The 19,848-nt window shown below is 36.2% G+C and overlaps 1 protein-coding gene across 14 annotated transcripts in view; it reads right to left on the bottom strand.

Moving 5' to 3' along the window:
• Positions 1-19,848, bottom strand: part of TDRD3 (tudor domain containing 3) — a 178,347-nt gene that overhangs the window by 100,659 nt on the left and 57,840 nt on the right. For all 14 annotated transcript variants that reach the window (XM_047430685.1, XM_024449417.2, XM_005266560.3 and 11 more), the window contains exons 4-5: positions 12,681-12,841; positions 5,842-5,983 (exon numbers count right to left, since the gene is read on the bottom strand). In XM_047430685.1, coding sequence (XP_047286641.1) covers positions 5,842-5,983; positions 12,681-12,841 — 303 coding nt within the window. The remainder of the gene's footprint in view (positions 1-5,841; positions 5,984-12,680; positions 12,842-19,848) is intronic.

Raw genomic sequence — 19,848 nt, 5'->3', positions numbered from 1 at the left:
TGATGAAAGATGAAGTTTATGTCCCAGCCTCTCTCTGTCTCACATGCTTACTTGTCCTTCCACCATGTTATGATGCAGCAGGAAGGCCCTGGTGAGATACCAAAGCCATGTTATTGTACTTCTGGGCCTCTGGAACTGTGAGAAATAAATTTCTTTTCTTCATAAATTACCCAGTCTGTGGTATTCTGTTATAGCAGCAGAAAATGGAGTAAAACAGGAAACAAAAAGCAAAACAACAACAAAAGAAATAGCAAGATAGTAGAATTAAAACTTTCCATACTGAATTCCATTAAAAGTAAATGGTCTACTAATGCTGAAACTCTATACTCATTAAACAATAACTCCCCCATTCTCTCCTCCCCCAGTCCGTGGAAATCACCATTGTACTCTCTCTCTATAATTTTTGCTACTTTCAGTACCTCACATAAGTAGAATCACACAGTATTTGTCTTTTTATACCCAGCTTATTTCACTTAGCATAATGCCCTCTGCCGCTGTAAACAAGGGTACACAAATATTTCTTCAAGACCTGTTTTCCATTCTTTTGGGTTTATAGCCAGAAGTGGAATTGATGGATCATATGGTAATTCTATTTTTAATTTTTTGAGGAACTGCCATACTGTTTTCTGTAGCAACTATGCCATTTTATATTCCCACCAGGAGTTCACAAGGCTTAGTTCCAATTTTTCCACATCTTCGCCAACACCTGCTATTTTCTGGGGGTTTTTGTTTGTTTGTTTGTTTTACAGTAGACATTGTAATGGATAATGGCTGTAGGGTAGTATATCTCGCTGTATTTGATTTACATTTTGATTAGTGATGTTGAACATTTGTGAATGTGTTTTAAACTACTGTACATCTAAGATGGTTAAGATGGTAAATTTTACGTTATGTGTATTTTACCAAAATTTTAGAAATTAGGAAAAAAGTAATCTATCATCAATGAAAAACCAGTAATCAGAATCCCATACCATATAAAAAGCATTAGAGACCATGACCAAATGTGATTTATTCCCAAAATACAAGAATGCTTCGACATATAAAAATCAATCAATGTAACGCATTAACAGAATGAAGCAGGGGAAAAACACATGATCATCTCAATTGACGCAGAGGAAGCATCTCACAAAACCAAACACACTTTTATAATAAAAATATACGACAAACTAAAAATAGAAAGGAACTACTCAAACCTGATAAAAGCCATATATAAAAAACCCACCACTAACATCATATTCAATAGTGAAGGACTGAAGGTGTTTCCTCTAAGATCAAGAACAAGAGAAGGATGTCATTTTCATCACTTCCATTCAACACTATATTAAAAGTTTTAGCCAGGGCTAAATAAGGCAAGAAAAATAAATAAAGGTATTCAAATTGAGAAGGAAGAAATAAAATTAACTCTTCACAGATAACGTGATCTTATATGTAGAAAACTCCAAACATTCCACACTAAAAAGAAAAAAAAACTGTTAGAATACTAAATTCAATAAAGTTGGAGTACGCAAAATCAACACAGAGAAATCAGTTGTGTTTCTCTACACTAACAATTTAGAACAATGTGAAAAGGACTTCCCATGGTCATGAATTGAAAGATTTAATATTGTTAAGATATCAATACTGAGTGGTCAATAGAGTCAACATAATCCTTATCAAAACCCCAATGATTTTTTTTTTTTGCAGAAATAGAAAAATCTATCCTATAATTCATAAGGAATCTCAATACTGAATAGCCAAAACAATCCTGAAAAAGGTCTCACTTTCCAATTATGAAACTTAATAAAAAGTTACAGTAATCAAAACAGTGTGGCATAAAGATAGACATTTAGACCAGTGAAACAGAACAGATAACCTAGAAATAAATTTGTTCATATATGGCCAAATAATTTTTGATAAGGCTGACAAGATCATTCATTAAGAACACTATTTTCAAAAAGTAGTGCTGGGAAAACTGGATATTCACATGCAAAAGTATGAATTTGGACCCTTTACTAATACAAAAATTAACTCAAAATGGATCAAAGACCTAAGCATAAAAGCTAAACCTATAAAAACTCTTCAACAATTCTGTGCATCAAAAGACACTACCAACACAGTGAAAAGGCAACACATGGGATGGGAAAAATATTTGCAAAACATATTATGTTAGTAGGAATTGATATCTAGAATCTATACATAACTCATACAATAACAACAACAACAGCTGACCTGATTAAAAATGGGCAAAGGACTTGAATAGAAATTTCTCCAAAGAAGATCTACGCATGGCCAATAAGCACACAAAAAGATGCTCAATATTACTAAGCATTAGGGAAATACAAATCAAAACTATAATGAAGGCCGGGCATGGTGGCTTACACCTATAATCCCAGCACTTTTAGAGGCTGAGACCGGCAGATCACCTGAAGTCAGGAGTTGGAGACCAGCCTGGCCAACATAGTGAAACCCCGTCTCTACTAAAAATACAAAAATTATCTGGGCATGGTGGTGCACACCTGTAATCCCAGCTACTCGGGAGGCTGAGACAGGAGATCGCTTGAACCTGGGAGGCAGAGGTTGCAGTAAGCCGAAATCGTGCCATTGTACTCCAGCCTGGGCAACACTCCATATCAAAAAAAAAAAAAAAAAAACCCAACTATAATGATATTCTATTTTACCCATGTTAGAATGGCTACTATCAAAAAGACACAAAATACCAACCGTTGGTGAGGATGTAAAAAACTGGAACCCCTGTAATATCCTGGTGGAAATGAGTGTAAAGTAAATATAAAACAGTATGGCAATTCTTCAAAAAATTAAAAATACAATTATATGGTCCAGCAATCCCACTTCTAGATCACACAAAAGAATTGAAAGCTGGGTCTCAAAGAGGTATTTGTGTACCCATGTTCATAACAGCATTATTCATAAGACTTAAAAAGTGAAAACAACCCTAATGTCCATTGATGGATAAATGAACAAAAGATGGTATAGATATAGAGTACTATCCAACCTTAAAAAGGAAGGAAATTCTGACACATGCTGCAACATAGATGAACACTGAAAATTCTATGCTAAGTGAAATAAGTCAGGCACAAAAAAGATATATACTGTATGATTCCACACATATGAGTTACTTCGTCAAATTCAGAGACAGAAAGTAGAATGGTGGTTGCCCAAGACTGAGAGGAGGAAGGAATGCAGAGTTACTGTTTAATGGGTACAGAGTTTAAGTTTGGGAAGATGAAAAAGTTAGGGAAGTGGATGGTGGTACCAGCTGTGCAACAATGCGAATGTTCTTAATGCCACTGAAATTTACATTTAAAAAATGGTTAAAATGTTAAATTTTATGTTATGTATACTTTGCCACAATAAAAACATTTTTTAATCTACAGTTTGGGGGCACTAAAACTTATAGAACTACAGTATTTTGTAAATTACATCTGGCACCAACTTGCTACAGTTACAATGCCTGCATATAGTTTACTGAATGCTTAGTGCTTCTTCACTTCCAACATTAGCTTTATGGTTTATAATTTCTATGTATATCACTGCCAGCTGCTCAAGTAACTGCACTTTCCCTGTTTCCTACATTGCTGTGGCTACCAAATCAAAAACTATAAAGCCAAAAAGAACTATAATCATATTAAAATGTTTTAAAATGATTTTAAATGTAAATTTTTATCACTCCCTAACAAGAAATACTAATGTGGCTTGCAGGAAGTCAAGTGCAGAGACATATAATTAAACATTTCAAGGGCAACTATTAAACTACTACTAAACTCCGTGTGTGTGTGTGTGTGTGTATGTGTGTGTGTGTGTTGGTGAGAAGGTTACTAGGAATGTTTACAGTTGTTAGCAAAGTGGTCCTGGCTATGGGACTGGGTTGTGGGAAAATTATATAAGGTATTAGAGTTGAGAACTTTTTACCACACTTTAAAAAATCTCTACTGATTAAAAAAATACAATTATATCAACATATGAAAAGATCACATGAAATGGGTAGTTTCTCCAGGAAATTCAAAGTTCACAAACTTGGCTGTTTATGTAGAACTATTAAGCTACTTCTGAATTACTTTTTTGGGACATTTTCAATTAAACAATGCAGTTGTGGAACATTACTTTATATTGCATAGTACAGCAACCCAAATCACAGCACATTAGTATCATAAGAAATTAGTACTAAGGAATAAAAATGTGCCTAAGGTCCTTATCTATTTACCTCCCAAACACAGGCACTTCCCAACTAAGAAAATAGGAGAGAGTAGTGTATCACAAAATACCAAAAGCTTGAAATATTGCTTAGGCCTTTGGCTGACTTTACAAAACAGGCAAGATTTGAGGGTGTCACAAGAATACATTTCAGCTCGAGGAGTAATCAGTTTTGCTATTCATTTGTTCCACAAATATTTTTTATGTGCTTTGTAATTCATTTATACCACAAGTATTTTTTATAACATCTATTACATGTAAAGTTCAGAGCTACTGCTTTGGAGATTGCAAAAAGGCTACTCTGGTATAACAGAAAAAAATGGTCTTGGATTGTGCTCAGATCCATCATCTGTCTAATCATAAAGTAAGTTATTTAACAGCCCTTATAAAGACTACTAGGAGGATAACTTGAGATACAGATGCAAGATCCCAGCACAGTATCTACACATTGTTCAACAGATACGTGCAGAACTTAAGAAAGATGATACAAACAAAAATTCTGACCTCAGAAGCATACTATCTGTTACAGGAGATGAGAAATGAACATAATTTTAGTGCTAGGTAAAAAGCAATACACAAAAAGAATAAAATGTTTAAAGAATTCAATAAGGAAACAAGTACTTCACCTTGAGAAGAAGCAATCATTTGATCTGGGTCTAAAAGCACAGGGATGATTTGGCTATGCGGGGATCAGGAGAGAAAAAACAAGATGAATAATGTAAAAATGGAAAAACGTTTAATTAAAAATGTATAACTGAGGAAATCATAGAGCATCAAAGAAAGACGAAGCAACTCCATTTGGCTACAACAAGATCTATGTGGAAGAATTTAGAAAGTTGAAAATTAAACGTAAACTGGAACTAGGGCTAGAATATAAATGGCATTCAATCTCAAATTAAGGCATTTGAAATAAAAGCATCTCAACTATGCTGAAGGAAGAAAACCTGGTGAAAGTACATAAAATAAATTAGAAGATGGAGAAAGGATATGTGGATAGACAGTCAGAAGGCTAATACAGCAGTCCAGGCAAGAGATACTAAAGACCTACACTACAGTAATAATAAGAACTGGAGAGCAAGGAAGTGATACGAGATTTGACTGCAATGGATCAACAGAAATGGTTGTTGGAAGCAAAGTAGAGGAACAATTACAAGATAACCTACATGACTGGAAAGATGAAGATATTGTTAATATAAATGGGGAAAAATATTAGCTAATGAGACTAGGAAGTCAAGTGCAACAAGAACTCCTCCATTACAGTGAAATTCTAACTTACTTTTACTTGCACGTATGTGTGTCTGTAGATAAGACAGGTATACATATATTCACATAGATGCACTTTTGTTTTTTGCAGAAAGAATTATACACAAATAAATTGTACATAGCTTATAACTGGTATCTTGACAGTTTTGAAACTTGTCAGGAAAGAATGTTTAAACATAAGTAATAAAATGTAACAAATACTGAAAAAGTATATCTACTTTAGAGAAACAATACACTTAGACAAAGATAGTTTCTCTAAAGATAATCATATTCCATTCTATTCAACTCCGACACAAAGAACTAATTTTACTCATTATTGAAAGAGCTCTTTAATGCAATAAAAAAGAGTGTAATGTTTCAAAAGTTCAAGCCATAGTTTACACTTACTCTCTGTAACTCCCATTTCTCAATAAGGTGTTCCACTTCACCACCAAGAACTGTGGTGTTAGAGTCATTCAAGAGCAGGAATCCATTTTTTATGTCAACAATGCCTGAGAGCTTAACTTTAGTTCCAGGTGGTGTGTTCAGGCTAAAGCAAAGAGAAAAGTGTTAAAAACATATTGAAGCTGAGAACACATGGACACAGGGCGGGAAACAACACAGACCGGGGCCTGTCAGGCAGTGGGGTAGTGGGAGGGAGAGCATTAGGAAAAACAGCTAATGCATGCTGGGCTTAATAGCTAGGTGATGGGTTGATAGGTGCAGAAAACCACCATGGCACATATCACCTATGTAACAAATCTGCACATCCTACACATGTACCCTGAAACTTAAAACAAAAAAACAAAAAAACACACACACATTTGAAGCTCTTTCCCAAAACTGGAATTCAGTCTTATATTATGACCTAATCAGGTTCTTCAAAATGCACTAACACCAAAACTAATTTTTCAGGAGGCTGACTATATCATATGAATAGACCACCAGAGAGGAAGTGAGAAGACCAGGAACAAGATTTTTTTTTTTTTTTTAAAAGACAGAGCCTCCGTCACCCAAGCTCCTCAAGTGCAGTGGGCAGTGGCACAATTTTGACTCACTGAAACCTCTGTCTCCCAAGTTCAAGTGATTCTCCTGTCTCAGCCTTTCGAGTAGCTGGGATTACAGGCATGCGCCCCCACGACCAGCTAATTTTTGTATTTTCAGGAGAGACAGGGTTTCACTATGTTGGCCAGGGTGGTCTCCAACTCATGACCTCAGGTGATCCACCTGCCTCAGCCTCCTAAAGTGCTAGGATTATATGCGTGAGCCACTGTACCTGGCCAAGATTGTCATTTTCTATCTCAATGACAAAGAAATGAGGTTTAGTCTTCACTTGCAAAAGAAAAAAAAAGGTGGACAATAACCACATGTCACTAAGCTGTGATAAAGACATGATAAATAGAATAAAAATATAAAATACTTTTTCAACTATGCTATGCTATATAAGATTTGACATTTTTTCCCTCTGAGCTTTAGCTGTGCACAGAAAAAATACTGTTTTTTTGTTACAAAGTTGAATTTCAATACAGAAGATATCTGACCAGTAATAAACCTAAAAATTTAACATCTATATGAGCCATAGTGATTTATACAAAATAATGCTCTTTTTTTGTTCACCATCAAGTCAAAGATCAAATGAAAGTTATTTATGCACTAACTTTAAAAGGATTTTTATATGCTAATTTTTAAGCTATTTATATACTAACTTTAAAAGAACATTTCTATAGTAGGCTATCAGATTTGGGGCAAACATTACACCATGACTCTTCTTATAGAAAACCAGAGACAAAATGTTTACCCTCTTAACCCTCTGGCAAAGGAAAACAAGGAAAGAAATCCATGCTGTCACTTAGGTCTGTTCTAAAATAAAAGCATACACACCAAGCCCCACCCCATCTCTTCTCACATACAGCAAGAAGTACTGCAAATAGTACTTCTAAGGTAAATACTTAGGATAAATTAGAAAATTATTCTGAAATGGCTTTGCATTGTTCACATCTTAAAACCTCATAAAATTCACCACATGCTAATATATGCAAGAGCAAACCAGTAAGAATGCTAATATCACTGGCCTTTTTTGGAGAAAGATAATTAATAAAATAATTATTAAGAAGAAATAGAGGATGTCTGATTTTAAAGCTTCAAAGAGCCCATACAGAGTAAGATAGATTATATATTAAAAATTATTCTGTACATTTTGCATATATACAATTTTTATACACCAATGCTATCTCAATAAAGCAATTAAAAAATTATTTTGAGGGCCCCAAGCTTAATCATTTTTAGTGATCAATCACAACTGACAAAACAAATGGTCATGAACAGCCTTACCTAACCTAACCCTTAAGTAGAGAGCTGTGGTGGTAAATGTAGTAACCATCTATTACCGTTCAAGATCAGCAACAGCTGAATACAATTACAATAGTGAAGAAGCGTTCCCAATTCCAGACAATCAGCAAATTCAGATTTTCATAACTCTGACAGTCATTGTACAAGGATAAATAAAAATAAGCACCAAGGACACCAGGCTACTGTACTCTTTACCTCCAAAGAAATTGCTAATGAATTAGATCATTTACCTAAGACCTATGTAGTCAAGTTATTTGAAGCTGGACCTACAATTTCACTGAAACAATTGATAGTCTGACCAGATTAAATTCAAGTTCTATTCCCACAAAAGGAATTAGGGGCTAAATTTTTATTTTTGTGTTGTCATAATTATACATATTTTGGGGGTATGTGTGATATTTTGACACATATATACAATGTGTAATGATCAAATCAGGGTAAAAATGAGATATCTATTACCTCAAACATTTATCTTTTCTTTGCGAGAACATTATGAATCTACTCTTTTAATTATTTTGAAATATTCAATAAATTACTGTTAACTATAGTCACCCTATTATGCCACTGAACACTAAATCTTATTCCTTCTATCTAACTGTATTTTTGTACCCATTAACCAACCCCTCCTTATCACTCACTCCCCACTATCCTTCCTGGCTGCCATTTTACTATCTCCAGGAGATCAATTTTTTTTAGTTCCCACATGAATGAGAACATGCAATATTTGTCTTTCTGTGCCTGGTTTATTTCACTTAATACAATGCTCTCCAGTTCTATCCCTGTTGTTGCAAATGACAAGATTTCATTCTTTTTTATGGCGGAATAATATTCCAGTGTATGTGTGTGTGTGTGTATGTGTGTGTGTGTATGTGTATACACACACATATACATACATACATATGTTTTCTTTATCCATTCAACCAATGATGCACACTTAGGTTGATTCCATATCGTGGGTATTGTGAATAGTGCTACAATAAAAATGGGAGTGCAGATGCTTCCTCAATATGCTGACTTCCTTTCTTTTGAATATATATCCAGCAGTCAGACTGCTGTATCATATGGTATTTCTATTTTTAGTTTCCTTAGGAACCGCCATACCGTTTTCCATGGTGGTTGCACTAATTTACATTCCGATCAGTGGTGTTTGAGCATTCCCCTTTCTCTGCATCCTCAACAGCATTTGCTATTGTCTTAGTCTATTTGTGTTGCTATAAAGGAATACCTGAGGCTGGGTAATTTATAAAGAAAGGTTTATTTGGCTCATAGTTCTGCAGACTGTACAAGCAGCATGGCATCAGCATCCAATTCTGGTGAGGGTTTCAGGTTGCTTCCACTCATGGCAGAAGGCAAAGGGGTATATGCAGATCACATGAAAAGAGCAGCAAAAGAGAAAAGAGGGAGGTGCCAGGCTCTTTTTAACAACCAGCGCCCACAGGAAGTAATAAAGAACTCACTCACTGCAAGGATGGCACCAAGCCATTAATGAGGGCTCTGCCCCTCCATGACCTAAATACTTCCCACTAGGCCCCACCTCCAACACTGGGGATCAAATTCCAATATAGGGTTTAGAGGGTCAAATATCCAAACTATAGCAGTTATCTTCTGTCTTTTTGATAATAGGCATTCTAACTGTGTGAGATGATCTCTCATTGTAGTTTTAGTGATGCTGAGCATTTTTTCATATGCCTGTTGGCCATGTGTATGTCTTCTTTTGAGAAATGTCTATTCAGGTCTTTTATCAATTTTTAATTGGATTTTTTGTTTTTTTGTTTTTTGCTATTATTTGAGCTCCTTATATATTCTGGATATTAATCCCTTGTCAAATGGATAGTTTGCAAATATTTCCTCCCATTCTGTAGGTAGTCTCCTCACTTTGTTCATTGTTTCCCCTGCTGTGCAGAAGCTTTTTAGTTTGATTTAATCCCAATTTTCTATTTTTACTTATGTTGCCTATGTTTTTGAGGTCTTATCCAAAAAATTTTTGCCCAGACCAATGTCTTGAAGCATTTCCCCAATGTTTTCTTCTAGTAATTTCATAGTTTTAGGTCTTATCTTTTTTTTTTTTTTTTTTTTGAGCCAGAATTTTGCTCTTGTCACACCGACTGGAGCGCAATGGTGTGTTCTCAGCTCACTGCAAACTCTGCCTCCTGGGTTCAAGTGATTCTCCTGCTTCAGCCTCCCAAGTATCTGAGATTACAGGTGTGTGCCACCATGTTTCACCATGTTCGCCCAGCTAGTCTTGAACTCTTGATCTCAGGTGATCCGCCCGCCTTGACTTCCCAAAGTGCTGGGATTACAGGCATGAGTCACCATGCCCAGCCACATTTAGGTTGATTTTTGTATATGGTGAGAGACGGGAATTTCATTCTTCTACATATGCTAGTTTTCCTAGCAGCATTTATTAAAGAGACTATCCTTTTGCCAATGTATGTTCTTGATGCCTTTGTTGAAAGTGAGTTGGCTATAAGTATGTGGATTTATTTCTGGGTTCTCTATTCTGTTCCATTGGTCTATGTGTCTGTTTTTATGCCAGTACCATGCTGTTTTGGTTACTATAGATTTGTAGTGTAGTTTGAAATCAAGTAACGTGATACCTCCAGCTTTGTTCTTTTTACTCAGGGACTAAAATTTTAATACAATTTTTACTATCACCTTCAGAACCATAATTAATTCTTATTCAGAAAGTATATTTTGGTTAATATTTTCATTGGCACCCAAAGGTTCCTTTAATCTCACTTCATTGTAATAATAATAATAATAATAAAAACTAGCAAGGGGCAGGGCAGGAGGTAGGACAGAAAAGTAGAAACAAGCACCGCAGAGAAATGCAAAGCCCATGTAAGGTAACACATCCGTATTAGCACCTGGTTTATCCCATCTAGAGAGTTGTTTCACCTTCCTTCTAAGATAACTATAAACTTATTTTGTATAATGTCTTCCAAATTGTTTACCTGTAAGAACTATTTTGTCAGCTGCCATTTTTACGGCACCAAAAGTAGGCATGCTGCTTCAATGATGAGTGAAGAGCATACGACGATTAATTTTTTCAGTTTTCAAGCTGCAATAAATTCAACAAGGGATGACAGTAGACAGCACTGGGCAGATTGGGCAGTGACACTCAGGGCTGACCTTGTGTTTTTATTCCTCAGAGAAATATACAGCCATAAAATCAGAGAATGAGCCATTACATGGCAAGTCTTTCTTCTCAGTCATCTGTGAGCTCCCTTGCAAGGGGTGTGACTGAATTCGTCATAGGAATTTGAAAAGCTGTTTCTACACAAAAGTACGAATCCTACTCTTCAAAAAGAAGAGAATATAATCACAATGTCAACAAATCTCCCTTTGTATATAGAAATCAACATTTTCGACAAACATATCTTCTGAGGAGGGGGCCTCATTTACCAGAGGCAGACACCAGATGAAAGAAGAAAAAAGAAGGGAAATCACTGAAAAGGTCATACAAGGCCTCAACCTACCACATTTCCTCTCGCATACCCACTGTTCTAAATCACCTAAGCTCCACCAAATGTAACTTCTCACTCTTTCTGTTGTCAGAACACTGTGTCTCTGCATGTGCTATTCCCTCCCTGCACCTTAAAATACCTACTCATATTTTAACCCCACTCCTGGTTACCCCAGGCAGAAGTAATTTTTGAGACTCTTAGACCTCTCAGTTTATATATGTCTTACAATATTTGTATGCCTACGTGCCTACTTAATTAGCATATGAGCTACTAAGAGGCTGAAATCTAAACCTCATTTACCTTTGTACCTCCAGCACTGGATTAAAGGGCTGGAACACCTGATAAATGCCTGCTCAAGAGAAAAGTATGGTATACAAGTTTATATTAAGTGAAAAAGCTTAGAGGAGCCCGAGCTGCAAACGTGAGTGTATAAAATGACAAAGAAGACCAAAAAAGGCAGGTGGGAGGAGGGCTGCAAATGTCTAGTGAAAGTTTCCACCTCAGAAAACAGAGCTCAGAATGGCCAAATGGAAATATCAAGAATAGAGGGGACAATTTCCCTTCCTTCTCATTGTTTTCGTCCATTCCATTGGGCATGGCTCTAAAAGATTCTTATTAAAATAACCAAACAAAGGGTTTGGAAAATCATTCCCAATGATTTCCTAGGAAATGACTAAAGTCAATCACAAACCTCCCTGACTTCAATCATTTCCTAGGAAAATTTATTAGCCTATAAAACTCTGCAAGAACATTAAACAGTGTGATGAACACACTATTATACACACAACTACTGAACTGTCAAGGATGAAACCGTATTTTTAAAAATTCTGTTTGTTCTAACAATTGAGTGACCTAAAGTATCTGACAAAACTGAAAAGATTACTTTCATTTTATAATTAACATTCAATCAAGAAGTAACTATATACTTAACTATTTTTTAATTTATTTTTATTTTATATATATATATTTTTGAGACACAGTCCCACTGTCACCCAGGCTGAAGTGCAATGGCATGATCTCAGCTCACTGCAACCTCCGCCTACCAGGTTCAAGCTATTCTCCCACCTCAGCCTCCCAAGTAGCTGGGATTACCGGCACCCGCCATCATGCCTGGCTAATTCTTGTATTTTGTAGAGACAGGGTTTCACCACATTGGTCAGGCTGGTCTTGAACTCCTGACCTTGGGTGATCCGTCCCCCTTGGCCTCCCAAAGTGCTGGGATTACAGGCTTGAGCCACCACGCCTGGCCATATATTCTTAACTATTTTTATACAGGTGAAGCAGAAATGCAGAAAAGCTCTATAATTTCATCTGAAAAACTGTAACACACAATTAAGGGTCCATTCCTACTTTTCAAAATTCTTAAGTTATTCCAATTGAATAGCACCTTCAACATTCTGTAACAAATACACAAAATAAAGTGCCAATCACCTTATTTTTGACATATAACTAAATTCTACTGCTGTGCAACTTATATGACCATCAGTCATCTGTAATCGCAGCATCCTTGGTGCAGCCTGAGATTCTTCATTATCCTTTGGTGCAGCAACATTGCGAATTTTTTGAATTTGCAAAACACATGGACCTTCGAGCTGTCAAAACAGAAAAGAATAAAAATCACTTTCTAGTCATGAAACTCTATTCAGGGCTGTGTTTTCATTTATAGTGTTTCTCTTTTCCTTAATAGTCATGCTTTATGATTTATAATAACTTCAATTAAGATTGAAACTGAAATTATATATTATCAAGTTTTTTCTTTGTTTTGGTATTAAAAGAGAAAACTTCAAAAAGGTCTCCTGAAGAACAATTTTGTTTTAATAATTCTGAATTCATTTTCAGAAGGTAATGAGAAAAGAAAACCCTAGGAAAACAGTTATATTTCTGGATGAAAGGTATATTTATTGCTGTTGTTAGTCTTATGCACTCTAAATCATACCCATAAATCCCACTTCTCCCTCCTTTTACATTAAGGGACACCTTGAAAATAAAGAACTTTGCAGTTTTTTTAAGTGAATCAAATTTATGGCAGCAATCCAAAAGAATGCTCTCTGGACCGGGTGTGGTAGCTCACACCTGTAATCCCAGCACTTTGGGAGGCCGAGGCAGGTGGATTACCTGAGGTCAGGAGCTTGTGACCAGCCAGGCCAACATGGTGAATCCCCGTCTCTACTAAAAATACAAAAATTAGCTGGGTATGGTGGCATGCACCTGTAATCCCAGCTACTTGGGAGGCTGAGGCAGAAGAATCACTTGAATCCGGGAAATGGAAGTTGCAGTGAGCCGAGATCAAGCCATTGCACTGCAGCCTGGATGACAGAGCGAGACTCCGTCTCAACACAACAACAAAAGAGTGTTTTCTGTTCAGAGACATCAAGTTTAAAGTGCTCCCTCTCCTGGTATACATGAAGCATACAATACCACCAAAACTAAAAAGTTGAAGAAGTATGAGTTGTAATTGACATATTTTCACATTTTCCTTTTTAAAATAAAAACTTTAACTTCGATATTAAATCTAATGCTGTATTATATGTGTTGGCCAAATTTCAATCAAAGATAAAAATAAAACAAATATACTTAGAGCAAAGTTGAGAAATAACAGTAAAATCTGCTTACGTGTCTGAAAAGTAAATTTAACTAAAGTGGCAACTTCTACATCTTTAAGTAGTATCATACCTTAGGGGAAAAAGGCTGTTTTAAAAATAGGCTTTTAAGTAAAATCTTTCTGTGCATATTAATTTATATTTTCAGCAAAGAGAAATGTGAAATGATAGACAAATATTTACACTACATTTCCTAAGCAAGCATGTTCCTAAGTTGAAAAATTTCTACTCCATATTTATCAGTATTTTGCCTAAAAAAGGAGTAATTTTGTTATTATAAATTTAGGCCTAGAGAACATAATTGGAAAAGATAATCTAAAATTTCATCTAATTTTCACTTACGAAAAAAAATTCCAAGTTGAAGCAAGTCCGAAACTGTTAACAAGTATAGATAAGCTGCTAATTCAGGATGAACTTTTTATTTGGCTTTTGTTAATGCCATTAAAATAAGGACATTTAAATTAAATCACAGGCATGTTATGGTTATTATAGCTCATAATTCTGTTTATTTTGGTATCCCATATTTTTAGCCTAGGCATTGACAAATATCTAGCCTATGCTGTCCAATACAATCCTCCAGCCACATGTAGCTATTTAAATTTTCACTTAAAATTAAGTGAAATTAAAAATTGTTCAATCGTACTAGCCATATTTCAAGTGTTCTATATATGGAGAGCACAGAGTTAGACCACTTTCATCATTGCAAAAAAACCATCACACAGTTGGTGATGATCTAGGCCTACATGTTCCAAAATGAGACTCATGCATCCTAGGCACCGCACTTCCATTCAAATGTAGGAGGGAAACATTTGCTTTTATTTAATGTTTAGTAGTCAAAAAAATCCAACTTTACCAATATTCGATATCTGGAGCAACCATGGCACCCTTATTCAATCCATACAACACAGGTCACTAGGCATCTTCATGGAATTTTGGGAGTTCTACGTCCCCTGGGTGTTGACATGACACCTTCTCTTGTTTGCTTTCAATGTGTTGTGACAAACTGCCTTTTCTTTGTACAGTTAAATGGACACATGCATTACATTACCTAGTTTTACTCACTATTGCTCACAAAGTGGACATGTCACTTTAAAAGATTCTGTCAAAGGAACACAAATTGAAGACAATGCCATTGATGCAAACACAGGGCAGGAATAGGACTATTTTGGTGATCTCCTACATCTGGTTGACTATGAGAACAAAGATCTGGGGAATGAAGGATAAGGAGGAACACCTGCCCCCAAATGCCGATTTCCAAGCAAGCAGCAAGTTTACTTATTTAATTAATCCAACTCCTGGCCTCTCCACCTCTTTTAGTGGGTTAAATAGTGGCTCCACCAAAAGACAAGTCCACCTAGAACCTATAAATATGACCTCGTTTGGGAACAAGGCTCTTTTCAGATGTAATTAAGGTAAGGATCTAAAGATGAGAACACTGTGAATTACAGTGGGCCCTAAAGCCAATGACGAGTGTCCTTAGAAGAGAAGGGGAAACAAACACAGACAGAGTATAAAGACCATTTGAAAATGAAGGCAGAAATTAAAGTTATGCATCTACAAGCCAAAAAAGGCCAAGGACTGCTACAGCTACCAAAAGCTAGGTGAGAAGCATGAAACTGATACTCCCTCAGAGCCTCCAAAAGGAACCAACCCTGCTGACACTTTAATTTTAAACTTCTGGCCTACAAAACTGTGAGAAAATAAATTTCCATTGTTTTATAGCCACCAAGTTTGTGGTAATTTGTTACAGCAGCCTCAGATAACTACTATACCCACTTATGGAATGAGTTACCTGATTGCGAAGAAAATACTGTATATTGGCCTCAGCCTCACTCATCTTCCTCTTGAGATCTAGCCTAGCTAGGGAACATGAGGGAGGGGGCACTTATTCAGCCTCCTCACCGGATTGGCACTTCTACGAGTGAGTGTACAAGCCTACATGTTCTGTGGTTCAGTTAATGCGTCCATTTGGCTGTCCCACTAAGCCACATCTTCAAAATACATTTTAATCAGTAATAAAGTTATTTTGGCCCACATATGCCACTCTTGTACTTGTTAACTGGTTCAAAAGCAAGGTAGAAAGGAGGTATTATTTATTAGATCCTCCTGAGAAACCCACAGATTTTACAGAATCTCTTGTCACTTCTTAATTTGAATCATCAAGCCTTAAGTTAGTAGTTCCACAATTCAGAAATATTCTATGAGTAAACCAGTAAATATAACGATTTTTTTCATTATTCTGCTTACAATATTCAGTTTCTTATACTCTGTAGTTAAAACATAGGGAAGTAATGGACCTAGATAAAATATACATAATAAAATTTTTTAAATGTTATGGTTCTAAGATCCTAAATCCTGAATCTAAAATCATCTTAAGGCTGGGTGCGGTGACTCACACCTGTAATCTCAGCACTTTGGAGGATGGAGGTGGGTGGCTCGCTTGAACCCAGGAGTTTGAGACCAGCCTGGGCAACATAGGGAGACCCCATCTCTACAAAAAATACAAAAATTAGCCAAGCGTGGTGGTGTGTGCTTGTAGCCGCAGCTACTTGGGAGGCTGAGATGGCAGGATCTCTTGAGCCTGGGAGGTGGAGGCTACAGTGAACCACGATTGCGCCACTACACTCTGGCCCAGGTGACACACATACACACAAAAAGGTGTCTCAAAAAAAGTCATCTAAAACATCCACAAAAATAGACAAGAATTAATTTCTAAATCTTTCTTCAACTACTGTTAAGAGCAACTCCAAAGTAAAAAAAATACCAATTTCAAATGAAAATAATAAAAAGGATTAATCTTGATCACCCAAGTCTTCTTTAATGTCTGATTTTCTCTTTTGTATTAGTAATAAGAAAAAATCAAAAGAAATTACTCTAAAAAATTTTAGTGGCTTAGAAAGATGTATCATTGCACCTCCAGGTAAGCATGTCTAACTCTAACAAACAATATTAAGTATCTGCTAGAAATATTCTCTCAGGCCATTAATCCAGGCATCATTCCTTCTTCTCCTGAGGTAGACGAATACCTCTGTCATCTAAACTCCTAACTAGTCATACCAACGGATATGAAATATCAGATTTAAATGGTTGTGTTAATTTATTAATTTATTGATCATACTAAATAACATTCTTGTCTATCAATCAGACTCCAAAGTTTGGATGACAGGGGACTAATTCTCTACAGTATAATCACATCTGGATAAACACTTAAAACAATTTTTTTTTCTTAACTCTAGAAACCATTTAAGACACTTAACCTGAAAATACATGCCAGCCATTAATCTTTTTTTTTTTTTTTTTTTGAGACATAGTCTCACTCTGTCACCCAGGCTGGAGTGCAATGGCTTGATCTCGGCTCACTGCAACCTCCGCCTCCCAGGTTCAAGTGATTCTCCTTCCTCAGCCTCCCTAGTAGCTGGGATTACAGGTGTGAGCAACCACACCCAGCTAATTTTTCTATCTTTTTTAGTAGAGATGGGTTTCACCATGTTGGCCAGGCTGGTCTCGAACTCTGGACCTCAGGTGATCCACCCACCTTGGCCTTCTAAAGTGCTGGGATTACAGGCGTGGGCAACCATACCTGGCCTGTTTTTGTAATCTTATTAATTCTCTTGAGAAAGAAATTTCTCAATCTGTATACCTAACAACATAAGCATCACACTCTCCATCAACCCTAGAAACAAACCATACACCCAAAAGGAATATATGAGTGTGATTCAGTTCCAATCAATGTTCCACCATTATTGCAAAGTAGATTAAAATTAAGAGAAAATGAAATAGTTTAATCTTCCATAGTTCTTTTATCTACTTAAAGTCTTAATTCATTTCCTTCTCTACCCCATCACTACTTCCAAAAGCATTTCCAGTGGCTTCAGGGGAGATTTCCTAGGGATCATTTTTTCATCCATTCTTTTATTTCAAGGGAGGTTTTTGACTAAATTATTCACATCTTTACCTTAAGGCCCATTGCCCTTAACAGGGCAATGTTTCAAGAAAGCTGCCTTGGAAGAAGAAATACTAATTCTGCCTATAGCTGCTTTAAAAGCCTGAAAGATAAGCTTTAAATAGCACTTATGACGACCTCTTTTTTACCTACTTTCTCTGTCAAAACATCTCTTAGTATCATTTCAACACAATTTGACTTTAATAAATAAATATAAGCCAGGTGTGGTGGCACACACCTGTAATCCCAGCACTTTGGGAGGCTGAGGTGGGCGGATCACCTGAGGTCAGGAGTTCCAGACTAGCCTGACCAACATGGTGAAACCCCGTCTCTACTAAAAATACAAAATTAGCCGGGCGTGGTGGCAGGCGCCTGTAATCCCAGCTACTTGGGAGGCTGAGGCAGGAGAATCGCTTAAATCCGGGAAGGAGAGGTTGCAGTGAGCCGAGATCGCGCCACTGCACTCCAGCCTGGGCAACAAGAGCAAGACTCTGTCTCAATCAATCAATCAACCAATCAATCAATAGAGGTGGGATAGGAAGAGAGAAAAAAATAAAGTCTGATTTGTCACATACACCCTGTACCATTCTACGTATGGTATCAGACCCAAGAAAACAAAAATAAAAAAAAAAAAGAAATATACATTGTTAGAAATTTCAGAAACATTCCCAATGTCATCCATGTACGCATCTAGGGTGAACCCCAATTTGGGCTACATTTCCCTCCAAAGAAGATGTTTGCTTCTGGCAGTAACAACACTGCAACTAAGAGTTTCAGCTTTGGGCTGGTGGCCAAGGGGCAAAGTTAACCTTAGCCAGCACTTTAACTCACTGTAAGTCAAGTAGCACCCCCACTAGCTCAAGGCAGAAAGAAGCACATATCCCTTCTAAAAACAAAACAAAACAAAAAAGCATTTCTGATTCAAGTGGCCAGGATTCTCACAGAGAAAGATCAAGAAAAATGAAATCATAACAAACTATCATGAGACTTACAAGGAAACAAGCTACGAAGATTGAGAAATATTAAAAAAAATTATTAAAAAAAATTTTAAGCCCCTAAGGACTTGAGAATTTGTAAGTATCAAACACAGACTACAAAATAATAAGCCTAAACTAGAAAATTTATACAAAACTTTAAACCCAATAGGAACAAGTATCTTCTCAAGCATACATGTGACATTTACCAATACATATCAAGCCATAAAGACTCTACAAATTTCAAAATACAGCTATCATTCAGTCCAAATTCTCTGATCACAACGTAACTGAATTAGAAATCCGTAACCAAAACAAACCTAATATTCTGTAATCAAAATAGGGAAAGAAGTAATCATAAGGTTAATTGAAAAATATTTAGAGCTGAATAATGAAAGTACCATGTATAAAACCTTTATACCTGAATATAAAGTTATGTTTGTAAATATGTAAATACACATATATTTCCTATGTAAATATAGGAGTATAGTTAAATCAGTGCTAGAAGAAAAATTGATAGCCTTAAAGAGAACTGAAAAAAAAACAAAAAAAACTAATGAGTTGAATTAAGAAGTTGTCTTTTATATCATGAACAGCACTCCAAGCCAGCTCAAGAAGCAAAGCAGGCCAATAGAAATGCCGTATTTTTAATTTATTCTACTGAAATGGTTTAAAATGCTTTGTATTTACTGAAAGCTTAAATGGGTGGGTGTTTGTTCACATAGCTCTACAGTACCTCACCAGGGAGCATTCCAGTATCCTGCAGGGTCTTGTGATCTAGCCAAGAGCAGCCATTAACCTAGTGATTAACATGGGAGTCACTGTCTTATGGAGAATGGGATGCTTAACTTTGTCAAGAACCTCGGTTAAACATTTGCCTTTTCTAGAATTGCACTTCCCAAGTGCTATTCCAATAAGAGCTGATATTCATTTTACGTACCAAACCTTTTGAGTTCAACTGATTAAAGGAAAGTGTTGCTAGAGAAAATTAGGGAAAAGGTGAAAAAGAAAAACTGGTACTAATTCAGTAGAAAAACAATTACTCTAATTTATATATGTATTGATTGGTAACCAGATTTATC

This window comes from Homo sapiens, chromosome 13, assembly GCF_000001405.40.
Source record: "Homo sapiens chromosome 13, GRCh38.p14 Primary Assembly".
Classification (NCBI taxonomy): domain Eukaryota; kingdom Metazoa; phylum Chordata; class Mammalia; order Primates; family Hominidae; genus Homo; species Homo sapiens.
This window is presented reverse-complemented; position numbering and strand designations above follow the sequence as displayed.